General features: G+C 41.9%; 1 long non-coding RNA gene across 1 annotated transcript in view; it reads left to right on the forward strand.

Annotated features, from left to right (window-relative positions):
• LOC105371777 (uncharacterized) overlaps positions 1-27,145 on the forward strand; it is a 70,694-nt gene that overhangs the window by 34,828 nt on the left and 8,721 nt on the right. The window lies entirely within an intron of this gene.

Genomic DNA, 27,145 nt, shown 5'->3' on the forward strand with positions numbered 1-27,145 from the left:
ATGGAGATAAAGGACAATGTTTGATTTGTATTGAGGAGTTGCTCTTCAGAACCTCTGTTTCATGCTTTGCTTGTGTTTGGCTTTTAAGTTTATTGTGTTTTGGACATCTTATTTTATAAGACTATTAAAATATTTTGTACAAACACAAAACCTCGAATCCCTAAACCAGGAATGAAACCATTGTACATTTGGAGATGTAGTTTGGGGATGTGAATTAAATGAATTTAGCTGAGTGATGGATTAGATGATTTGGGAGGTTATTTTCTTTCTATTTCTAATGTTCTATGACTAAATATTGCATTTTAGGTTTCCAGTCACCACCTGGCTTCAAGTCCTGTTACCAAGACACTTAGAATAAATCACACAGTGCTTTGTACCTGGCATGGTATCAGGATGGGTCTCCTCTTTTGTATGAGGCCAGCTTAACACCCACCATGAGACAGACTCTGCCCCATCCATCCTGAAGCTACTTACAGGTGCTCCTTCTAAAGTCCCCAGTGGATTTCAGTTGCAGAAGCTTCCATGGAAGCCTGATCTTCCTTGTATGCCCCCATAATCACAGCGAGAGTGGCTGTTTATATAGGAAGGGGTGCAGGCGGGGACTTGGGACTACACTCAGCTTCCAGGGTTGGGCTGGAGGCAGCTGCTTGTGTGTGGACCTCTAGACACATGGGCATGATCTCATCGGTGGGAATCTGATTGTAAGCAACCAATAAATGCCTGAGTCACTTGCTTCCCTTCATTCAAACCCCCTGGCTGAGAATTCACACTTCCCATGAAGCATGTAAATCACTTCCTTAGTTAATTAGATAATCACTAATTAATATAATTAGATAATCAGTTAATCACTTCCAAGTTAATTAGAAGGGATTGGAAAAGTCACTAAAAACATCTAATTAATTGTCATCCTGATACTTTAATGGAATTGAGATTTGTATATAATTAAGCAAGCAAGTAAATGCAAAAAAAATTGGAATTTAATTGTCTTATTTTAGTGGCTTATTTGTTGTTGCTGTTGTTCTGAAAGCCAGTCACTTAAAAAAAATTTTTTTTGAGTTTTTAGAAACCAGTGGCTTTTTTACTTTTGAGTTTAAATTTCTTTTACACACAACTTTCTTCTAAAATAAGGTCAGATCATATTATTTCTCTCTTATAAACAGTATACTTTAAAATAATACATTGTGTTTGATTTTATCTTAGTTATATCACAGAAATAAAAATTGAGATAAAATGGAATCTATTTTATGCATTTTATGGTATATGTGTGGGCAGCTCTTATATTTTTATCCATTCATGTATTCATCAGCCAATACTGAGTACTCACCACCAATGACTGGACTGGTAGCAAGAAGACCTTGCTAACTTATTAGAGTTATAAATTACTTTGTTAATAGATGTCACAGCTAAACTCTGTAGCAGAGAAGAACTTTTTATAAACACATGAACTATGTTCTTTATACATGTATTCAAAGATGAATTGTTTTTGGTGTTGATTAATGGGGTAGGAGGTTGTTAGATTAAAGTCATTGGAAAATTATACTATTTAAATTACACAAGTTTTATAGTAAGTTGGTCTCAGCTAAGAGTTTCATATGCTAACACATGATCAAGGTGTGTAGAAGCATTATAAAATCAATAGTTAGCTTTATAATTAGAAAAGAACATGAATGCAGTTGTTAAACATGATGATTTTTGTTCTCTTTTGTAGCACAATTCTTCCTTATGGCTGGACCTATTTATATCAAAGAGTTGAAAATCCCATTTTTAGTTATTTTCCATTTTATTTTTATTTTGAGACAGGGTCTCACTGTGTGACCCAGGCTGGAGTGCAGTGACACAATCACAGCTCACTGCAGCCTTGACCTCCCAGGCTCAAGTGATCCTCCTGCTTCAGCCTCTCAAGTAGCTGGGACTACAGGCACACACGCCATGCTTACATAATTTTTATTTATTTATTTTTGGTAGAAACAGGGTCCCACTATGTTGCCCAGGCTGGACTCAAACTCCTGAGCTCAAGTGATCCTCCCACCCCACCCTCCCAAAATGATGGGATTACAGGTGTGAGCCCCTGTGTCCAGCCGTTTTTTTTTTTTTTTTTTTTTTTTTTGAGACGGAGTCTTGCTCTGTCACCAGGCTGGAGTGCAGTGGCATGATCTCAGCTCACTGCAACCTCCCCCTCCCCGGTTCACACAATTCTCCTGCCTCAGCCTCCCTAGTAGCTGGGATTACAGGTGGGCACCACCACGCCGAGCTGATTTTTGTATTTTTAGTAGAGATGGGGTTTCACCACGTTGGCCAGCCTGATCTTGATCCCTTGACCTTGTGATCTGCCTGCCTCAGCCTCCCAAAGTGCTGGCATTACAGGCGTGAGCCACTGCACCCGGCCCAGCCAATTTTTTTCTTTTTTTTGAGAAATAACTTTGTCTATATCTTATTCCAGAAATCTTTGGCTAGTTTTGGTAAGTTTTTGAGGTTTTAAATTTAAACTAAAATATGATACAATAGTGTCATCATTATGAGGTATAGTCATTCAATCTACCAATTTGTTGGAGTAGAAAAAATTCTACTGGAAAGCCTCCCACCTGTTTATATAAGGGCAGGAGAATTTGCTGGCTTCTCTATATCACTGAGTTTTGTACTTTTGTAGATTATTCGATCTTATAATGTGACCACAGGAAATCAAGTGAGTTTTTCACAGCAATTCATTTTTCTGAGTTATATCTCGAGGACTGAGTAAAGATCCTATTGACCCTTGTTCATACACAAAGTCATGAATTTAGAGACCCTGGTATTTCAGGCTGTTGGGTGACTGCAGCTGTAAATAAATACTTATTAGATCCCAACTTCCTTGTAGCTAGTAGGAGATACATTTTGACTTCTGAGACACTCTACTGAGAGTGTTAATGATTAATATTAAGTATGGCCAGTAGTTGGGAAGGCTATTATAAGCACTACAGTTTTCAGAGGGCTTTCAACTTTTTTCTTTTTTTTTGTATTCTACCATGACCAAGCTATTGCAATCACATATGATAGACATAGAACCTGCAGTCTCTGGAGTGGCATCTTGTTCAGACAGGGAGAAGGAGGGTGGAAGTATGGATGAAGGAAGTTTTGCCCTGAGTTATTTGTTGAAGCGAGGAGATGGGTACAAGGAGGTTGATGTATAGTAAACTTACATCATTGTATTCTGCACAGTTAATCAGTCATATTTAGGTTTTTGTTTGTACTTATTTGGTAATTCTCAGCTGTGTTTTGATGAGTTGGATGGATTTATTTATTGTCTCATAGTGGCTATAGAATGATTGGATGAAGAATATAAATATAAATTGTTTTAGAAAATAAAACAAACTTAAAATTGGAGCAAGTACCAAGCAGATCTGAAATACAAACCAGAGGAAATAAATAATGCCGTTAAAATTACAAGTTCAGTGGATGGATCCAGGAACAGATTAAGCCAGGATTATTGAACAAAATGTAGCTCTGAGGAAAATTTCCAGAATGCAGCTAAGTGACGAAGGAGGAAGTCAAGAAGGCATGAAGGCTATAATTAGAAGGTCTAAATATGTCTAATCAGAGTTCCAGAAGAAGACACAAGAGAATAAGAAAACATTCAACAAAATAAAAAGTGAGAATTTTATAGAATTCTTTAAAAAAAACCCAAGTTCTCAGATTAAGGAGACCTAATGAATTCCAGGCAAAAGGAATAAAAATAAATCACTACACACATTGAGGCAGAAAACCAGATAATTACAAGCAGATAGAGAATAAATCACCAACAAAGGAATGGTGGTTAGACTGATGACTGACTCCTCAAAAGCAACAATGGACACTGGAAATGGAATAGAATCTTCAATGTGCTGGGAGGAAATAACTGCCATTCCGGAATTTTCTGACTCGGTAACATTATATTTGAAGAAGGGTAAAATAAAGCCATTTTCAACATTTAAAAAACTGAATTTGCCATCAACTTCTAAGTTTTCACTAAGAGCAATCTGAAAGAATGTGTTTTAAGCAGAAGGAAGATGATTCCAGATGAAAGTTCTGAGATGCATAAAAGAATTAAAATAATGAACAAATAGAGTGCTAAGCATGCGACCAAATGTAAATGTAAAGACAAGTATTGGCTATAAAATAATATATCTATTGAGAAGAAAAAACAATATGGAATTAAAGTAGATGAGGGCTGGAAGGGGATGAATGGAGTTAAATTGTTCTAAATTGCGGGACTGTTTAGGAAAACAGCAAACATACAGATTAACTTTAGATATTGACAGGTTAAGAATGCATATTATATTTTCCACACAGGGACACATGGCGGAGAACAACACACACTGGCACCTGTGGTTGGGGGGAAAGCATCAGGAAGAATAGCTAATGGACGCTAGGCTTAATACCTGGGTGTTGGGATGATCTGTGCAGTAAACCACCGTGGCACATGTTTACCTATGTAACAAAACTGCACATCCTGCACATTTACCCCTGAACTTAAAATAAAAGTTGAAGAAAAAAAAGAATGCATATTATGTTTTCTAATTTTATGGTTTTGCCTTTCACATGATGGCTCTTACAATGATCTGGAAATAAGCCAGTGAATTAGCACAAAGAGCTCAGAAACAGATCTGTTGCCTATAGAAACTAATTTTGTACGGCTTGGGCATTTCAAATCAATGAGGAAAGAAATGGAGTATCCCATATTTAACAAATGGCAGTTGTATTTCTGTCTAAGGCAAAATTTACCTAAAATATAAGAAAATGAATTCCAGATTCATTAAAGATAAAAATGTGAAAAGTTAAAAACTATACAACATTTAGAAGAAAACACAGAATAATATCTCTAGGAATTAGAGTAAAGGAGTATTTTTAAACAAGACACAAAAAGTGAAAACTGTGAAGTACAAAATTGATACTGATTTAGCAATTTTTATTCATTAAAATATACCATAATTATAATGAAAAAAGCCTCAAACAGGGAGCAGATATTTAGAAGTCATGTAACTGACAAGCAATTAGTTTCCAGAATATGGAAAATTCCTACAAATCAATAAGAAAAAGAAAAGCATCCCAGTGAGAAAGTGGGCAAAATATGAATAGATTTGCAGAGAAGAGGAAAGCTGAATGGCCCATTCCACATCTGCCAATCGGAAAAATTTAAAAAGTTGGACGATAGCAAGGTGGCCGAGGGGAATTCCAGTCCATTCATGTTAGCTGTATAAGTAGGTACAATCACTTTGTAAAATAGTTTGAGATTATCTTAGAAGGCTGAACATTCATATAGCCATCACTCAGCAAACAATTCCTAGGTGTACACTTCAGAGAAACTCTTGTAAATATTGAACGATAGACATGTACAAGAATATTCACAGAAGCATTGTTCATATTAACAACACACACACGTACTAACATACACACACACAACAGAAAACTGGAAACAACTCAAATGTTAAGAGTAGAATGAATAAATGCGTTGATACATGTTCGTACAGTGGGATGCTATGCAACAGCTAAAAATGGATAAATTAGCTGGGCGCTGTGGCTCATGCCTGTAATCCCAGCACTTTGGGAGCCTGAGTTGGGTAGATCACTTGAGGCGAGGAGTTCGAGACCAGCCTGGCCAATATGGTGAAACCCCGTCTCTACTAAAAATACAAAAATTAGCTGGGTATAGTGGTGGGCGCCTGTGATCCCAGCTATTCGGGAAGCTGAGGCAGGAGAATCGCTTGAACCCAGGAGGTGGAGGTTGCAGTGAGCCGAGATCATGCTACTGCACTCCAGCCTGGGCAAAAGAGCCAGGCTCTGCCTAAAAAAAAAAATAAAAAAAAATAAAAAATAAAAATAAAAAAAAGATAAATTACATTATTGACATGGATAAATATTAAAAAACATAATGCTGAAAAAAGACAACAGAATCCATCCAGATTTTATTGATATATAGTATAAAAACAGGCAAAACGAAATAATGTATGCTTAAGAGATATACATATAGATAATGTAGATTGCAAATGATGGTCACAGATTCCTCCTGTCTCTGATGCACACTCCTTTGCAAGTCCTTTCAGAGTCTGAGGGGCATCTAGACCATTTCCAATTTTTGAAGCTCCTGGTATATTAAACAATTGAAAAAAATTTAAAGTGTTTATATTTCCTTTACATTACCATTTGCAACACAAAATCTCATAATACAATAAACCTGTACCAATCACAAGATTTATTTAAAAAATACTAACTTATTTTAGTGTACTATAGGCTACGTGGTCCAGTGTGGGGGCATAGTTTCAACGGATGAGATGGATATCTTAATCGTGATCCTCCTGCGTCGGCTTCCCAAAATGTTGTGAGTACAAGTGTGAGCCACTGTGCCTAGCCAAGATGGATATAATCTTTTCATCCCAGAGGTGACGTTTGAAACCAGATAGGGCTGCATTTGGATTTAACATCCTAAATCTCTGACTGGGAAGCCACAGGCTCAACGGTCCTCTTCACCCCTGCAATTGGCTCCGTATCCGTGTTATTTTGCCCATGTCCAGTGTTATGCCAAGGACAAGTGAGTACTTATTTTACACAAGCTTGACTAAGAGAGAGCCCAACTGAATTCCTCCCAAAACAGAAGAATAATTTGTCACCAAGACTAATTCTAGTTCCTACCTCTAGAATCATAGTAAAGAAGTTACTGACAATTTAAAAATAATATTAGCACCTGTTTCTAGCCATCATTAGTTCATGAACGTTGAGGTCCAGTCTCAAACACCTACCTAAAAATGCAAATCTGATTATTTCACTTCTGTAAAAAACTGACAACAGTATGTAGTCAAGTCCAATATACAGCTCTCAAAGATCTAGCTCCTGCCTACCTTTTTAGACCCCCTGGTCACCCCTCCATGCCTCAGATGGCACACTCCAGTAACACACACCACTGATTCCTCCATTCCATGCTTCTGTATACTCCATCCCCTTCTCTTCTTCTGCATGTCATCTCTTCCAGGAAGCCATCCCTGTGCTCTCAAATTCCTTCCCTCCAGGATGACCAACTGTCCTGGTTTGCCCAGGACACAGAGCTTTCTGCAATGTGAGACTTTCAGAGTTAAAACTGGGACAGTCAGTCCCAGGACAGTTGGTCACCCCGTTCATCTCTCCTGTGCATGTCTCTCTTTCTTGGGTATAGTGTGTGCATGGGCTTTGGCCCTGATTCCTTTGTGGAATGAGTGGGTGTGGGACATGGGGAATAGGATGAGATGAGAATGACTGGGTGGTGATAGTGGTACCCCATGGCAAGGGGGACACTGGGACAGGACTGGGAGATGGTTTGGGAGATGGTTTACTTAACATAATGACCTCCAGTTCCATCCATGTTGTTGCAAATGACAGAATCTCATTGCAAAGGGAAACATGGTGTGTTTGTGGAAATGCCAAGTTTGTAGCACTTGTGTCAGATTTAGGTGGAGGAGACCTGGATGAAGAGGAAGACTGTTGAGTATTCTGATTTGGAGACCAGGCTGGGAGTGCATAATAAGGTACTGATAAGGTACGTAGGAAAGGTTTTCTCCAGTATTATTGATTTTTTTTTTTTTGAGACAGAATCTTGCGCTGTTGCCCAGGCCAGAGTGCAATGGCATGATCTTGGCCCACTGCAACCTCCGCCTCCTGGATTCAAGCGATTCTTCTGCCTCAGCTTCCCAAGTAGCTGGGATTACAGGCACCTGCCACCATGCCCATCTAAGTTTTATATATATATATATTTTTTTTGAGATGGAGTTTTGCTCTTGTTGCCCAGGCTGGAGTGCAATGGTGCAATCTCGGCTCACTGCAACCTCTGCCTCCCAGGTTCAAGCGATTCTCCTACCTCAGCCTCCTGAGTAGCTGGGATTACAGGTATGTGCCACCATACCCGGCTAATTTTTTGTATATTTAGTAGAGACGGGGTTTCTCCATGGTGGTCAGGCTGGTCTCAAACTCCTGACCTCAGGTGATCTGCCCAGCTCCGCCTCCCAAAGTGCTGGGATTACAGGTGTGAGCCACCACGCCTGGCCTAATTTTTGTATTTTTTAGTAGAGATGGGGTTTCACCATGTTGGTCAGTCTCGAACTCCTGACCTCAGGTGATCCACCTACCTCGGCCTCCCAAAGTGCTGGTATTACAAGTGTGAGCCACCATGCCCGGTGCCAGTCTTGATGATTCTTATGTTTATCCCTCATATATAAATTACCACCATGATTCTAGTTCACTCAGTCTTCCAAAACTCCAGAGTCAAATCTGCACAGACAGACCACAGGAAACAGCATCTCCTGGGAGAGGCTGCCATCTTGCATAGCCCTTGCTGCTGCCTGGAGGCTTCTTCTCTCTAAACTGCTGCATTATCACATCATTGAGCGTTTCATTCATTGTGATAACTGAAGACTGTAGAATTTATGGTGCTTGTGAAAGCTCTAGAAAATATTGCCTAGCTATAGGCTATAATATTGTTAGCTAACTAAATGGTAATAACCAATTAGCATTGAACTTTTTTAGACTATGTTCTAAGGGAGAAATCATCAGTGATTTAATTTTCTGATATGCTTTTATGTTACTTGGACAACCCAAACTTACTATTTTTGAAAACAAGTAAGCAAGTGACAAATCACTCACCATGTGTTTTTATTTTTCATGAGGCTTGTTTCTAAATACAAAGAACCATATAGGCTATCATATCTGAAAGAGCCCTTGAAAGTCATGTAGGCCATCCTCATTTTACAAATGAAAAGCTGAGGCATATGCAGATTAATGACTTGCCTATAGCAACGGTACAAATATAGAAAGTTGAGATTAAGCTACATAATATTTGCTCTGCAAATTGATTTTTAGTGCTTTTGCATGACCCAGGAAAACTGTCTTGGCAACAACATCCTGATGTATAAACAAAACTCTCATCAACGAAATTACTGCTTAAAAGGTGAATATAAGGTCTATACTCAATACATTTTTGTTTCTACCTGGGGCTAGAGACCTCCTCTTTCAATATGGTCCTTCCCGTGCTACTAATCACACAAAATTGAAACAGGTGCTCTAAGATACGGCGGCGATCATTGGCTCCAGAATGCTCCTAGAGCAAGGCACGATGTATATGGATGCATCAGACTAGATGAAGAGATGTATTATTAATTCGTTTTTCAGAATGCAAACGGCAGATGTGTTCACATTTCTGCTCGGTGGGGTATTTCATTACTTTTTAATGTGCACACACTTAAGTAAAAAGGGAAAAACAAACCATACAAAGCATCCGACTGGTTAAAAGAGAAGCTTCATATTGAAAATTTGTTGCAGAGTACAGGATTGAGCTTGAAATGGAGGGATGGAAAGAGAGAGGGAAAGAACGCTTTTCCCAACACCTAATTTTGCAAGGAAGAGTTGTATTAATAAACAGGTTTTAGGAAAACTGCCTGTAAAGATTAACATCTTCTGGGCTGGGCGTGGTGGCTCACACCTGTAATCCCAGCACTTCGGGAGGCTGAGGTGAGCGGATTGCTTGAGCCCAGGAGTTCAAAACCAGCCTGGGCAACATGGTGAAACCCCATCTTTACAAAAAATACAGAATTTAGCCAGGCATGGTAGTGCGCGCCTGTGATCCCATTTACTCGCAAGGCTGAGGTGAGAGGATCCCTTGAGCCTGGCAAATTGAGGCTGCAGTGAGCGGTGATCACGTCACTGCACTCCAGCCTGAGCAACAGAGCAAGACACTGTCTCCAAACAAACAAACAGACACAAACAAACAAACAAACGAACATCAACGTCTTCTGAGTCAGGCAGTTGGCAAAAGATGAAATGAAGTTTTGACAACTGGTTTTTAAAAACAGAAACGTATCTGGGCAAATTAAACTATTTATGATTTGCTGAGTGCCTCCTGGGTGGTCAGACACTGCTCTGGAGGAGCTTGTGGTCTGGCAGAGGAAATGCTAACAAGGGCATGTATGAAAGGAGGAAGCAAAAGTCCTTAGAAAGTGCTGTGAAAAATCAGGAGGAGGTGAGGCTGAAAGCTGAAGAAGCCAGGAAGGCTTTCTAGAGGGGTGGCTTTCAGAGCAAGATGTGCAACCTCTCCCTAGGATCTGGAGTCCTAGAGCAGGTGGGGAAGAGCAGGGCACTTACTCACCCCCAGACCTTTCCTGGAGGTGTGATCTGGGCTTGGATGGGAAGCACCGGCATGTGAAAGGCCCTGAGGCAGGGAAATGAGCAGAGGTGGGCTGGAAAGGAACCACTGAGTAGAGAAGGGAGGAAAGGAGGCTATAAAGGTCACATTCATTCCATCTCTTCGTGTCTTAACTCTGAAAGAGTCAGAGAACTCCAAATAAAGACCGCTCACATTTTAACGTGGTTGGTAAGGAAGATGAGGGTCTGTGGGATGTGGGAGCAGAACAGTGAGAAAACATCTGAAAGCCACCCTGCTAGGAAGCCTTCCCCGGTTTCTTCGGCTTTCAGCCTCACTTCCTCCTGATTTTTCACAGCACTTCCCAGGGATTCTTGCTTGCTCCTTTCCTATGGGCCCTTGTTAGTACTTCTTCTGCCGGACCCCAGGGAACTCTGAAGATAAATAATTGCAGGCTGGGCGCAGTGGTTCACGCCTGTAAGCCGAGGTGGGAGGATTGCTTGAATCCAGTTCAAGACCAGCCCTGTAAACATAGTGAGACTCCTTCTCTACAAAACATTAAAAAAAAAAAAAAATAGCAGGGTGCGGTGGCACGCACTTGTAGTTCCAGCTACTTTGGAGGCTGAAGTGGGAGGATTGCTTGAGCCCAGAAGGTCGAGGCTGCAGTGAGTGGTGACTGTGTCACTGAACTCCAGTCTGGGGAACAGAGCAAGAATCTGTCTCTAAAAAATCAACAAAAATAATTGCATGAGTCAGGTCAATCTGCAGGCTTAGGGGGCCAGGTGATATGTTCATTGCGTAGTTGGAAAATAGCATGTGATAAGGTAATCAGTCCGGGGATAGTCCAGTTTGGGGTGTCAGAGGGTCAGGAGGAACAGCTCCACTGTGAGGAGCCCCATTTAACCTGATTTAGAAAAGGGAAGGCAGAGAAGCATCAGCGTTGAAACAGGGTTCCCTAGTGACCACAACCGTTGTAGACAGTACACCTTTTTGTGGTTTAGGGTTTTATTCCTGTAATATGTTTCGTAGCCTTATAAATCCGGGGCTTTACACCTTGCTGGGGACTTACTAGGTGTCAATGGAGATGTGGTTTATTAATTGTATTCTTTTTTAAGAATAAGTTGCTCCTATTTGGCTTTCACAATGCAGCTAATATTTTTGATGCCTCAGGTTCTATGAAGGCCTCATTGTTTGGCGTTTTCTACTTTTTTAAGCAATGAAAATGTGGAAAAGCCTGGAGCAATTTCTTATGCGTTTGACACATATGTTGAGGGATATTAAATAATTGCTGCCCAGAGTAAAATATAACAGGTTTTTATGGCCAACCCTTATGTTGACAGAGTGTACAGGCTGGTAGCTATGTATACTTTTTCAAAATAAATGCATCTCTGTGAAATGAGCTATCATCTGAAAGCATGGAGTAATTAAGGAGCAATATATTTGTTCCAAGGAACTGACATTAATGTTGACACACGATGTTTCTAGGCAATTTGATCTATACCAATAATTCACTTTCTTCCCTACAGCAGGACTCATTTTGTTCCTAAGTCATTGGAGGCTGTATTAGAGATTTATCTGGTGGCTTTTTAAAAGCACATTATTTACTACAGTGTGTGTTGAGCCACCATTTATGTTTATTGATCGTAATAAGTATGGCATTCAACCAGAATTTGGATTCAGGTTTTTAATATCTAATTTAGATTCTTTCCCTTGATTACACTGACATAGGGCCTTAGCATTGTTAAAACTGAAAAACTATACAGCAAATTTGACCCTAGATACAATGATCAATCAATCGAAGAGCAAAAATGGAAACCAGTTATTCTGGCTGGTCACAATCTCGTATTAAAATGACTGATCTGGGCCTGGCACAGTGGCTCATGCCTGTAATCCCAGCACTTTGGGAGGCTGAGGTGGGTGAATCACCTGAGGTCAGGAGTTCAAGACCAGCCTGGCCAACATGGCGAAACCCGGTCTCTACTAAAAATACAAAAATTATCTCGGTGTGATGGTGGGCATCTGTAACCCCAGCTACTCAGGAGGCTGAGGCAGGAGAATCGCTTGAACTTGGGAGGCAGAGGTTGCAGTGAGCCAAGATTGCGCCAGTGCACTCCAGCCTGGGCAAGAAGAGCGAAATTCTGTCTCAAAAAAAAAAGAAAAAAGACTGAGGTTTGTTATAATGATTATGATCATTTTGTCTTTGCCTTTTTATTTCTTAGTATCCCAGAAATTATCCAACCAACATTTTTGATGTGGAAATGTGAATGAAATCTCTTTTGGTAGAACTACAAGAAAGATTTTAAAGGTCGTATTTTTTCAGTTTTATCAACATGGACTTAGTAAGTAGCATAACGTCATCAGACTGATCTGGTTCAACTTTTATGTTACAGAGTTGTGAGTTGTTGTGAGTTGTTTTTCAGTTCCATGGACCCCCTGAGCATGCCCAGATGAACCAAGTGTGCAGGAACCTAAGTGCTTGGACTAAGGAGTGGGGACTGAATTAAGAAGCGGACACCCCATGGCAGGGTCCAGTCAGATCATGCCTCCCAGCATCACCTCATTGCAGGATCAGATCATCCTCATTACCCTATGGTTATGAAACCTGACCTAGCCTCAAGCTCAGGGAGACAGATTTGAGCATTTCCTTCAGTTTCCTTGTCAGTCTACTCACAATAAACCTTTCTCACTGCCAAAACCCAGTGCTTTGGTGCTTGACTTAACTTTGCCTGAGGGCAAACGGACCTGGTTTGGTTTGGTGACAGTAGTTTGTGTGTTATTTTAAAGCATTGGTGTTTTAAAATTGTACTGAGATATTAATATACAGAGGTAATAATCCCCAAAGTAAAACTATCATCATAAAACCTTTTTGGGATGGAATAGCTCTTTTTTTTTGAGACAGAATCTCGCTTTTGTTGCCCAGGCTGGAGTGCAGCGGTGTGATCTCGGCTCACTACAGCCTCCACCTCCCAAGTTCAAGTGATTCTTTTGCCTCAGCCTCCCGAGTAGCTGGAATCACAGGTGCGCACCACCATGCCCTGTTAAATTTTGTATTTTTAGTAGAGATGGGGTTTCACTATATTGGCCAGGCTGGTCTTGAACTAACCTCAAGTGATCCACCTGCCTTGGCCTCCCAAAGTGCTGAATTGCAGGTGTGAGCCACCGCACCCAGCCTGGAACAGCTCTTTTAATGAGAAAAGAATAAAGTCAATTTGAAAAAAAAAAAAAAAAAAGGCTTCAAACCCGAGCCTGATTCAAACATTTTAAATCTGTCTTTTAAAGACCATTCCAAAACTTATGCTTTTATCATAAAACAATTCATTGGTAATTTATTTTGGATTATTCTTCTGTATTTCTCCTTGTAAGTGTATTTGCCCAGTGTGTTACTCTGACATGCCCCATGTTAGTAGCTGAACCGTTATTAACTATTGATCTATACCAATAATTCGTTTTGTTCCCTACTGCAGGGCTCATTTTGTTACTACATCATGTGAGGCTTTCTTAGAGATGTACCCAGTGGCTTTTTAAAAGCACACATTTTACTACCATGTGCGTCTGGTTACAATTTATGTGTGTGTATGTATGTGTGGGTATATATTACCTATATGCAGTGTATGTATATATACACATATATATGTATATATGTGTTCACAACATTCTGATGTAAAGGATATGTCAGATTTCTATGTTCCTTGATTTAGAGAAAAAAGGTTGATGACTTATTTTTTCCATTTTCTAATTTATTGGGAAATACGATATACATACATTTAACAACAGACCAAAGGAAAAAATGAAAGAATGCCTCCATCCTGGTGTGCATATTCATGTGCTATTCAAAACCACCCCACTTCACTTTTTCCTCTTTTTTCCACTGATGATTCTGAGCACTCTGCTAATGTTATAGATACCCAGGATTGAAAACACAGACTTTAGAGATCTGGACTTGAATCCTATTTCTGCTACTTGCTTGGGCATGGTTCATAACCTCTCTGAGCCTCACTTTCCTCATATGGAAAGTGGAAGACCATAATAATGGCCAGCATGGTGGTGGTGTGAGGATTAAATGAAATGCCATATCTGAAGTGCAGGTACAGCACCTGGCATGTAGGAAGCACCCAGTGAGGTGTAGCTTCTTAGTGGCAGCCGTGATCATAGTAGAAGTACTGTAATTGTAAACTTGGTGGTGGTGGCAAGGAAAAGGCCACTAACATTTACCCTTCAGTATGCACTGAGCTAGTAGCATTGTGTCATGGATGCTCACTGAGCCTGTGCAGCTAGTACAAGGTAAGCTGAAGGACAACCCGGAGGAAAATATAATTGAGAAAACACATGACTACTTTCAAACATTTACAGTGACCCAGAAGTATAAGTGGGAGGAGCCATGAATGATTTACATAGAGGATCCACATCTCAGATATTTATGGATTACTTAAGATAATAGACTGTGTACTGGGCATTGAGGACAGAAAGATGGATAAGACAAGGTCCTGTCTTCCAGTCTTTCCCACTCCTCTGTGTGTGTGTGTGTGTGTGTGTGTGTGTGTGTTTGTGTGTGTGTGTCTGTATTGGGGTGGTGAGAGCCAGAGAAGAAAACCTGATGGATGAGACCATAAGAGATGAACTCACCTCCCTGGGTGATGTCCGGGGCTGGTTCCGTGCTTTTGCCCCAAGGAGTTCATATTGAAATGGAGAGGATGGATAACTCAAGCTCCACCTGACCTCCTAGAAGAGTGCTGTCCAGTACTGAGCCACATAGGTAATTTTAAATTTTCTACTAGCCAAATTAAAAAAGTAGAAACAGGTGAAATTAATTTTAATAATATCCTTTGTTTAACCCAATATATCCAAAACATAGACTCAATATACAATTCTTAATGGGATATTTATTTTATTTTTTGAATTACATCTTTGAAAAGTGGTGTGCATTTTACACTCAGAGTATATCTCTATTTAGACAAGCCACATTTCGAGGACTCAATAGGTACCTGTGGTTAGTGTCTACCTTAAGGGACAGGGTAGTTCTAGAGCTCTGCTACTCAAAGTATGGTCCTTGGCCTCACAGTTTCACAGTGTAGATATGCCCTCTGTCCCTTCCACTCCTCCTAAATTGGAATTTGCATTGTAACAAGATCCATGGTGAGCCCTCAGAGTTTGAGAGGGGCTGTCTGATGACTTGAAAATCTCATTTGAGGAAACTGCACACCCTCCCTTCTAGTCATATTTGTGCAGTACATTTCCTCATCATAGATTAGGTAAACCATCTTATCATAGTCGGACCAAAGGTAGAGTTCAGTTTAGCCCTTGTTGGAACCAGTGGGATCTAGTTGGGTTTTTCTTAGTCGGAAGGTTGAGCTATTTGGCAGAAAATGAAGGAGAGACAGGACAAAGATGAGATACGAGTGTTTATTCAACCACAGAACAAATGACATCACCATTGTCATTGGAGCTCTTCTTTTCTGACATATGTTTTGAAAGGGAGAAAGGAGTGAAGAAGGGAAGAGAGTGAGAGCTTCCAAATTCATGGGGTTTTCGTTATGTCAGAGTTCTTCCCCTAGGGTTAGCCTCATGAGCACGTGAGCTTGGAAGGGCCTGGCACTTGGATTAATGCTCTGCTGTTGCAGTGTTGAAATTCTTGACAATTGGGTCCGGCATGCCTGCTTTATACCGAGCCCTGAAAATTATGTAGCTTGTCCTGCCTCCCCTAAATGTCCACTTACTATCCACCTGCAGGTGTAAGAGTCACACTGGATTAGGTAGGTTTTGGGAGGCATTTTCTCTTTATGTGTGTGTATGTATGTGTGGGTATATATTATATATGTGGTGGGTGTATATATACACATATGTATGTATATATGTGTTCACAACATTATGATATAAAGGATATGTGCTGGGCCAGGTACGGTGGCTCACGCCTGTAATCCCAGCACTTTCGGAGGCTGAGGCGGGCGGATCACGAGGTCAGGAGTTCGAGATCAGCCTGACCAACATGGTGAAACCCCATCTCTACTAAAAATACAAAAATTAGCCAAATGTGGTAGCACGTGCCTGTATTCCCAACTACTTGGAAGGCTGAGGTAGGAGAATTGCTTGAGGTGGAGGTTGCTGTGAGCGAAGATCAAGCCACTGCACTCCAGCCTGGGCAACAGGGAGAGACTCCATCTCAAAAAAAAAAAAAAAAAAGGGATATGTCCCGGATCAGCTGGATCAGGTAGGTTTGGGAGGTGTTTTCTCTTTCACTTCCCCATCACCACAATCTCTTTATAGCTTAAGAAATAAAAAAGAGATAACACAGGCCTTTGGGAGAATCGAGATCAATAATGCATTAGATAATGGTGTTCTGAGGCAGGATTTCAATGAAAGGCTAAGTGCTGTAACTATGTAACAAAACACCAGCACAGGACAAAGAGTAGGTTTCTCAATCAACAAGGATAAACAGCCCCACCCTCCCAACCTTGTCTCCAGGTTTACAATTATCTGCAGTGTTTGAATAGAGCTCAGAGATCTCTGGGCAGTGACAATGAGTCAGCTGGGCCCATTCATGTTGGAAGTTTTATATGGGTGAAAGTTAAAAATGTTAACTTGTTTCTATGTTGTAAAAATGTTAAACAAAGAATAAAAGTATATTCTCAAGATGACTCATGAGGAAAAAAGAAAGTATATTAGTAGTTTCAGAGCTCAGACCTGAATCAAATGCCTGAATCAAATCAAAAACTACTCAAAGCTTTGAGACCTAAGAAAGTCACTTTCTTTTAATACTAATGGACTTGGTATAATTTGTAATGCCTGCAGCTCAGAGTTTAGGCGGAGAGTCAGCCACATTGGCTTCACCTGGGGGCTGATTACAGATCTCAGGCCACCCCCACACCCCACACCCATCGCCACCACTGACCTGCTGAATAAGGATCTGTATTTTATCAAGATCTACAGGTGATCTGTGTGCCTATTAGAGTTTAAGAAGTGCTGTAATGTTGCACTCAGCAACTACTTATCTTGGCGGTGGTGGGAAGGGAGGAGGGAAATCTAACCCCTTCACAGGTGCATCAACTTAGTGCCTAAGACTTCTTGAAGCATTATGGGAAAGCGAGGGTTCTCAAAGTGTGGGCTTCAGACTGGCAGCATCAGCAGCACCCAGGAGCTTGTGGCAGTGCAAATTCCCAGACTCTGATTATCTGGCTCAGAAACTCTGGGAGTGGGACCCCACAATCTGTGGCTCCATCTTAGCAAGTCTTTCCAGTGCTTCGGATGCATGGTAAAGTTGGAGAACCATGGCTGTAAAGTATCAGTAGTCGAGGAGCAGGAAGATATTTCCACTGGTTGTACATTTTAGTTTAGAATGCTTGATCTTGTCAAGCGGAGCCCCACATTGAATCACATGTTTCATAAGGCAGTAATTCTAACTTTGAAAGAAGTCACGATGCTCTGACTAATTTGAAATTTATTTTTATTTCTGAGGGAGATTTGGACATGGAAAGGGATGGCAAGAAGTGAAATGGTTGAAAAAATAAAGAGTATGACATGATCTGGCAATTATTAACCTGGGGAAGTGAAGAGTGAAAGAAGAAGCAATCGAGCCACATGTTATCTCTGTAAATGGTGAAGTGACTCACCCTAGGGCTCACCAGGAACAGGAAGATGTCGTTTCTTTCTTGCCTCCAAGTGGCAAGCAGGGACTGTGTGTCCTTCATTCATAGCTGCTTGAGAATCAATTACAATAGGTGGGATGCTGTGATAGCCAATAGGGTTCAGAAATCAAGACACAGTCCATGATTCCGAGGAGGCGGCAGCCTAGCCGGAGACGGTGACTAATCGGGAATTATATATAATGTTCACGAAAAGATTTGTGGATATAGAGGAAGGATCCCCAAGTAAAGCTGGGTGGGAGGGAGTCATTGAAGTTTTCCTGAAAGTGCAGAGTTTGAGGGAGAGTCCAAGCTGGAAAAGCACAGGGACATGGAGGTGGCCCACGCATCCCTAAAGTGCAGCGATGAGTAACTGGTGGATAAGTCACAGCCCATAAATCTCAGAATTCATCCATTCACTCCACAAATATTTACTCAGTACCTGCTGAGGGCCTGGCACTGTTCTAGGCCATGAGGATACTTCCGTGAGCAAGACAAACACAAATTCCTGCTGACAAGGCTTCATTCTAGCAAAGGGATATAAACCCCATACAGATAATATATATGTAAATTATAAGACAATGTGATGTAATCACACTGGAAAGGTAGAGAAATGGCAACCGGAGGTGTGAGATGGTGTAAGAATCCTGTGATGCCATCTTCTACAATGGGGATTTAGGTCTTTAATGTCTTCTTTTTTTTTTTTTTTTTTTTTTTGAGACGGAGTCTCGCTCTGTCGCCCAGGCTGGAGTGCGGTGGCGTGATCTCGGCTCACTGCAAGCTCCACCTCCTGGGTTCACGCCATTCTCCTGCCTCAGCCTCCCGAGTAGCTGGGACTACAGGTGCCCATCACCTCGCCCGGCTAATTTTTTTTTGTATATTTAGTAGAGACGGGGCTTCACCGTGTTAGCCAGGATGGTCTCCAACTCCTGACCTCGTGATCCGCCCACCTCGGCCTCCCAAAGTGCTGGGATTACAGGCGTGAGCCACCGTGCCCGGTCTTTAACGTCTTAAGTTGATAAAACAAGAAATAGCAGTGTAAGCATATTCCTTAGAGATATGCAGGTTAATACCAGAAACAATAGCTAAAAGATTTCAGAGAGAAACATTCAGGAGTGGGGACACCAGGGGCTGCTATTTTTTACTATGAACCTTGTATAGTATATGATGTATTCATTCATTCACTCACGCATTCATTCATGAATTCACAAGTCTGTGTGAATATCAGTGTGTGCAAGGTTTTGTTGCAGATGCTGGGGATACAGTAGTTAAAAAAACACAAACGTTTCTGCCCTGGCGGAACTTAGATTCAGGGGTGGGAGCTAGAGGTGAAGGGAGTAGGTCAGAGGAGAAAAAGGAAGGGTGGGGAGGGCTGGGAAAGTTGCCCTTGTGTGTAGAGAGATGAGAATGGGCCTCCCTGTGAGAGTGGTATTTGAATGACAGCAGGAAGAAAAGAGCCATATGGCAGCTCAGGTGCAAAGGTCTATAGCAGTTTAGGTGTGAGTGTGGGTGGAGCAGTGGGGATGTGGGGGTGCTCAGGGATGGAAGGGAGGGTGGTGGAAAGGACCTCAGCAATTCGGAGGTGAATGGTGAGGGATGTGGATGCCATCATCCAGCAAGGAACCTGCCTTTTACTCTGTGATATGAGAAGCCACCGAACTTTGGCGATGGAGTAATTCCTTATATCTTTAAAAAGAGGCACAAAGACCACACCTCATAAATACTGACATCATATTAACAGAATAGATAATACACCACTTTTTCAAATGTATCTTTTTTTCTTTTAATCGCTGAGAGGGAAAAGTAGTATCAGTGGCAGCACACACACACACACACACACACACACACGGAAGAAATGGAAATAAAAGCTAAAGAACAAACTAGTAATGATTCGGAGTGAGACCCCTAACACCTCCCGAATGGGGGCAAGAAGCTCAGGACTCTGGTAGCCCAGGCAGAGTCTGAGTAACTGGCGTTGCCTCTCTTCATGCATCTACCTGATCCACCTGTCCTTCTACCCACCCCTCTGATCCCTAGGAATTCTGAGAGCCTGGTATCACCCAGGTACAAGATGAAGAAGTCTATTGTCCCCTAGAGGGTAAATGGCAAGAGGTGCAGTTTAGGAGGATTCTCAGTCTGGGAGGAGAAGCTAGCTGAGAGCTTGCCACAGATGTAAGCAGGAACGCCCGGCTGAAGTGGGAACGAGGCAGAGGCTGGAAGACACAGCAGAGTGCTGTGCAACAGATGCCGCCTGGCAGACATGGTGCTCTCATCACAAGAGACTGTTATTTGGTACTGAAGTAGCCTTCACATTCCATAGAAAAATGTCTTTCTATTTTTTATATTATACTTTAAGTTCTGGGGTACAGGTGCAGAACATCCAGGTTTGTTACATAGGTATTGATGCGCCATGGTGGTTTGCTGCACGCATCAGCCTGTCATCTACATTAGATATTTGTCCTAATGCTCTCCTCCCACAGCCCTCCACGCCCCGACAGTCCCCAGTATGTGATGCGCCTCCCACCCCCCGTGTCCATGTGTTCTCACTGTTCAACCCCAACTTATGAGAGAGAACACACGGTGTCTGGTTTTCTGTCCTTGTGTTAGTTTGCTGAGAATGATGCTTTCCAGCATCATCTATGTCCCTGCAAAGGACATGAACTCATCCTTTTTTATGACGGCATAGTATTCCATTGTGTATCTGTGCCACATTTTCTTTATCTGGTCTATCATTGATGGGCAATTGGGTTGGTTCCAAGTCTTTGTTATTGTGAACAGTGCTGCAATAAACATATGTCTGCATATGTCTTTATAGCAGAATGATTTATAATCCTTTGAGTATATACCTAGTAATGGGATTGCTGAGTCAAATGGTATTTCTGGTTGTAGATCTTTGAGGAATCGCCACACTGTCTTCCACAATGGTTGAACTAATTTACACTCCCACCAACAGTATAAAAGCGTTCCTAAGAAAAATGCCTTTCAATCCTTTACCTTATTCCATGATCACCAATTTTCTGATACCTAATTCAGTGTGCAGGCACATTGATTCCAAGACAGGTTCATGGTATAATGGCAAAACAACAGCAAGACAACTTCCATTGTAAATGAACGGGGGCTTCTTGTTCCTTGGGTTTAGCTGGCTCCATTCCCTTAGCTCCTGACCAACCTTGGTAAAATAAAATTTCTAAACCTTGAAGCTTGAGGACTGGACCTTTACCAACAAATGTGTGTTGAAGAGTGAGCATGGGAGGTGCAGTGAGTGTAGGGGCTCACCTGGAAATACTCCGCTCCTCCTAAGCATTGCTCCAGCGTGGCACCCACAGCCACAGAAGGAAGCACAGCACAGGAGATCCATCAGGGTGTCCCATGAAATGCTGCATCCGAAGCATGGGCCAAAATATCTAGACCTCAATGAAGAGCTATAAAGGGGTGTTAGGGGATACAGCATCTAACATAGAAAGCACGCTGTCCATGGTTATTAAGTGAATGCATGGATGAACAGGAGGAGTCCAAATTATCTGTTTTAAAGAGGAAGACATTTCTTTGTGTTTTTAATCCTTCTTGTTTTTATGGTGTCTACTACCAATTAAAATGTATTGTGCCATGTTTCTTAATTAAAATAAGAAATTTGATTGCATGTTTCTGTTGGTAAATGATCATACAAGAATCATTCATGTCAGCTTTGTTCTGGGAATGAACACAGGATATGGGGTCAAGATACGTGGGGTAACTCTGTTACCAAGACCTTTAAGGAAATAGTATTATTGAATAGAAAATGGAACATTTGGGCTCTGAAGTCTTATTTCATGACATTTAAAGTGTTTATTTAGCTCTGGCTTCCTCTGCTGGAAGATTGACTTTCTTATTTGCTCCTGTAACGGATGGATATGCTGTGTGGCTGTAGAGCTCCTTCCCTCCCTCCCTCCTTTCCTTCCTTCCTTCCTTCCTTCCTTCCTTCCTTCCTTCCTTCCTTCCTTCCTCCCTCCCTCCCTCCCTCCCTGCTTGCCTTTCTCTTTCTTTCTTTCTCTCTCTCTCTTTCTTTATTCTTCCTTCCCCCCTCCCTCTCTGTCTCCCTTCCCTTTTCTTTTCTTTTTTCTTTCCTTTCCTTTCCTGTTTTCCTTCCTTCCCTCTTTCATTCCTTTCTTTCCATCCCTAGTTTTCTTTTCTTTTCTTTTCTTTTTTTTTTTTTTTTTGAGGCAGAGTCTCACTCTTGTCCCCCAGGCTGGAGTGCAGTGGTGCAATCTTGGCTCACTGCAAGCTCCACCTCCCGGGTTCACGCCATTCTCCTGCCTCAGCCTCCCGAGTAGCTGCGACTACAGGCGCCCACCACCAGACCTGGCTAATTTTTTGTATTTTTAGTAGAGATGGGGTTTCACCGTGTTAGCCAGGATGGTCTCGATCTCCTGACATCGTGACCTGCCCGCCTCAGCCTCCCAAAGTGCTGGGATTACAGGTGTGAGCCACTGTGCCCAGCCTCTATCCCCAGTTTTATATTGAATTATAATTAGATTCAAAAGAAACCTTTCAGCCAGTGGTCCTCATCCTTAAACTGCATATTGGAATCTCCTGGGAGACGTAATGTTGTAGGCTAAGGATATAATTCAGGCTATTACTGAATTATAAAGCGTGCTGTGTTCATATCCTGGAGGATGGAATTGGGTCACAGTGTTTTCAAGTCTGAAAAATCAGATGCCATAGTTCTTTGTGTTTTTAAGTTAGAGTCCATTGCCTTAAGTCCTCATGGGCATTTTAAGAAATAGATCAAAGTATTTGATGAGCTCAGGGTATGGGCACCCATACTTTCTCCTCGCTTTATCCTTCAAATTAGTCTACTTAGAATTTGCTTTTAAATTTCTGCCTAATTTTAAAAAGACAATTGTGGGACTGAGTTGCTGTCCTACCCTTTTTCTTTAATTGTTATTTGACTTCAGACTCTTCCTATAACTCATGTGTGTGTGGGTGACACTCCTCTGAAAAATGGGCCAACAGAAGGGCTTATTATTTGGGCCACTGTGGTCATGAAACCCAGGTTCACATTGATTTTATTGCAAAATTTAGATACATGCACCAGTCCACATGTTAATTTGCTTAGTATTCTTACCTTTTAAAATGTTTTTGCTTCTCAGACCCTTGTGATTTCAAGTCAGAAGTCCCTGACCTCTTAATGCTTGTTTTTTTTTTGTTTTTTTTGACACAGTCTGCATCTATCCCAGCCTCAGTCCTCAACTTCCACTGCTCTGTGTAGCATAATCCCCATGCAGTCCCACAGTTACAGTCAACAGGGCCTTTCCTCCATCTATTAGCAAACATTCCTGTTCTTAGAGCCTCAGAGAGTGAGGCAATGACAGGATCACGATTTTAACATTTCCCCTTTCCTGAAGCTTCTTTATTGGGACACTGGTGTTAAAAAGGAAAAAAAAAAACAGCTTAATTAAAAATTTTTATGTATCATGTGGAGCAGGGTTGCCTAAATGAGAAAAAGATACTTGAAATCCCAGCCTCTATTTTCATCAGTCAGAGGAATTCAGAGGAGGCTCAGGAAAATTGTGAGGACAGAGGGCTGTGTCCTGAGTCCCTAGCCTACAATCCCTGTGTCCATCAGTCAAGGAGGGCAGCCTCATCACAGCTGCAGGCTCTCCTGCATATCTTTGTCAATTGTCGACCGACTAATTCTATTCAGGTTGCCTTTTGTAGGGGTCAGCAGAGTAGGATCCTGGCAATTTCATATGATTAAAACTATTTTGAACAAGACCCTTGGCTAGGATCTGTTTCAAACGATGAAGAAAGTTCTTTTTTCATTGTTACAGGAATTGTGTTTAATGAGATGTAGAAGGCTGTAGTGTAAAACTTTTTTTTAAATGGGGTTAGGAGGTTTAAGGGAGATAATTGAAAACCTGGTTATCTCTTGTTTTAGTAGTGGTTCTTTGCTGCTGTACATGTAACACAAACTACTTGAATTTCAAGATGCTACCATCCCTTGGGCATGAATTATGAATGTTTGATATTCCTTGATTCCATCACAGGACTTGTATGGTTGATCTTTGTCCAACCCGAGCCTTGGATCAGGAAAAAGGATGAGTTCGGGTTTATGTTGCCCTATAGCCAGCAGGGGGTGTTCGTGGCCTTCCTATTCCAAAAGGCCGCAGCACCCTCTCCCAGGCTCCGGGTGAAACTGGTTTGTGAGTCACCATTACCATCCTTCTTTCTCTGTTCAAATTGGCATTTTACCAAGAACAGCATTACTTCTGAGTGAGCAACAGCTGACCAATTATCTTGAAAAATATTTGGGAAGCTATACAATTTTAAAAGTGAAAAGCAAAATATATCTTCTATTTTTAACTTGTTCCCTAAACATGAATTACCTGGGGGAAAAGCAGATGCTTTTCAATCTTTTAAATGATTGCACCTATTCTAAACCATCCAGGTGTTTTTGAAATGACCCACAGTCATCTTTAATAGCATGCGAAGGGGCCAAGGCCCTCTCAACTTTAGATTTAATAGCCTGCCCCCTTCAATTGTCAGAGATATTGACAGAGATAGGCCTGACTGTTCTGCTGTAATTTCAACTCATTTTCTCCTGCTCTAATATCTATAGTACGGGATGGACTTTTTTTTTTTCTTTTCTGTAGAGGCCAGGTCATAAATATTTAGGCTGTGTGGGCTGGAGAGACTGTTGCAACTACTCAACTCTGCTGTCCTTGTGCAAGAGCAGCTGTAGACAATATGCAAACAAACGTTCATGACTGTGTCCTAATAAACTTTATTTGTAATTTGGCCACGCCCTATCTTATTGATAGCCCTCCAAAACGTCAGTATCTTCCATATATCTGTTATTTTATGTTGTTTATAAACTCAAACTCTTCTCCGATTAAGAGGAAAATAATCGAATCTGAAAGTCCCTCAGGTTCAACTCCTTTCCCAATGCCTGGTCCCCCTTATAACACTCTTGACAAGCATCTTTGCCCACTGCTCGGAACTCTCATGCTTTGTGTCTTCCCTGCAACACAAGCAGTGGCCCCGAAGAGCAGACAGCGTGATACAAATGCACAGAAGTTTTTAAGGAGATAGCACAACAATTTAGAAACTAAGGCTGCTGGAATGATGAGCTTTTAATCTTTTCATTCATCGCAGGGTTTAATCCATATTTGAAAAGAAAGATGCCACAGTATAAAGCTGACAGGCACTGACTGGCCTGAAATATCTCAGGAAAATCTGGTTTCAGATTTTTCTAGGAGTTGATCCAAGAACATTTTTCTTTCTGCCTTTTGATCTGTTGAAAGATCCACAAGATACTTGGATGCCTTGAAGACATAAATGCCAGTACAGAAATAAACTCTGACGAGTTGTCTTGTAAAGGGAGCCAGCTCTTAGAGAAGGGATCATTGTAAGGGTAGGAACTGAAACTTTTTTGTCTACTACCTGACATTCTCAAACCCTTCTTTCCTTTGTACTTTTTCTGTGAACAGATGGTTTCGTCCAGCTTGGAGTGGGTTTAGGGGAGACTGAGAAAACAAGACGGCTGCCTGCAGTTTTAGTCTCTCTTTACCCATCTTAAACTTTTTCTTCCCCTCTCCATTTTTGAGAGCAAGAGGTTACATGCTCCCTTTCCTCCTGTAGAAGAAACATTTAGCTGGGGCTGACACAATGGCGAGGACATGAGAAATGACCACAGGAGAAGCCCTGGAGGCAGAAGACTAGGTCTTTGCCCCTTTTACAGTGAGATAGTTTTATATAAATATCAGAGGTTACTGGAGGCACCCAAACAAAATTGAGGACAGGAAGCAAATATCTGAGAGGCTCCCAAACCTCGATGTACTGTGGGACCCAAACGAGCACGTGAATCCCTTCTAGATATCCTTTGGATCCTTTAAGAGTAGCACAGGCGGGGCGCGACGTTTCACGGCTGTAATCCCAACACTTTGGGAGGCCGAGGCGGGCGGATCACGGGGTCAAGAGATCGAGACCATCCTGGCCTACGTGGTGAAACCCCGTCTCTACTAAAGATACAAAAATTAGCTAGGCATGGTGTCATGTGCCTGTAGTCCCAGCTACTCGGGAGGCTGAGGCAGGAGAATTGCTTGAACCTGGGAGGCAGAGGTTGCAGCGAGCCGAGATCGTGACACTGCACTCCAGCCTGGCGACAGAGCGAAACTCTGTCTCAAACAAACAAATAAATAAATAAATAAAGAGTAGCAGATACCACTTATAAAGTTTTATTATAAAGAATTATTGGAGTTGGCTATGAATTCTCCTCCTTACTCACGTCTGGTGGGGCAAAACGGGGAGGATCAGATACTATGAAGACAAAGATACTGGAAATAGATCAAAGCCTTGAATTCCCAGCCCCAGACTCTACCCACCATGATCCCTACCTGCAGGGGTCTGGGTTCCTCTTGCCCAGCCTGCTCAATCTCTGACCCCCTAGCATGGGTCTCTGGCTTGCTCAGAGGTGCAGGCTCCCAGCTCCCCTTCTCCAGTCGCCTGAAGACTCAGTGGTTCCTCTCTGAAGGATGTAGTTTTAACCTTTGTTTGCTGTAAAAACATATAGCAGGCAAGTGCTTGTCACAAGGGGACTTATTTCTTCCTTCTGCTTCATGTGATGGGGAGGGTCCGGCTGTGGATATCTGCTGTGCTAAGACAGCCACAGTGTGGTCTAAGACAGAGCCTGGTCTTGGCCACTCTGATATCTGGCTGACTGAGAGACAGTGTGGATGGGTGGAAGAGGGCAGTCTTGCATGCTGTCATCTCCTCCCTAGGGCCCTATTGACCTTTGGTGGATCCACACTTGAGGTGTGGACAGAGGAGAGAGACAGAGAATGCCTTGTCTCCTGTAGAAAGGCCTCTTCTGGAAACTTCCAAGCACCTAACATTGTAGGAGGAGAATAGGAGACTGAGAGAGAAATATAAAAAGCCATGTTCCCACAGTAAGCTCTCCTACCACTGGCTCAGCCTCCTGTCCATTTGGGAATGATTAGAGATGCTACCTCCTTCCTCAGGGCTGCCAACTACAAGTGCGCAGCCTCCCCCAACTCTTAGCACTGTAGCCAGGTGTAGTTATAAATAAACGTTGGGGTGACTTATCCTTGTGTGATGTGTGTAAGTTAGCCCTTTCTTTGATTAACTATAAATACGTAAATTAGATATTCCCTGGTTTCCCCAAACACTGGTAGTAGTGAATTTTCTTGGAATGCCCTTCTTTGGTCTGCTGGCTGATTATTATTTTCAGACGACACTAATGACGGCCCAGGTGTGATGTCTACAAAGCCCCACATTAAGGCGCTTGCGTAGCAAACCTGCCATTCAGGTAATGACGGCCGCCCTCTGGAAAAACAAGCTGAGACCATACCGGGGAAGGCCTTGGATACTTGAGAAGGGTGTGAGGCCAGTCACAGGAGTTGACTCGGTGGAACGGGGC

Source organism: Homo sapiens, chromosome 17, assembly GCF_000001405.40.
Source record: "Homo sapiens chromosome 17, GRCh38.p14 Primary Assembly".
Taxonomy (NCBI): domain Eukaryota; kingdom Metazoa; phylum Chordata; class Mammalia; order Primates; family Hominidae; genus Homo; species Homo sapiens.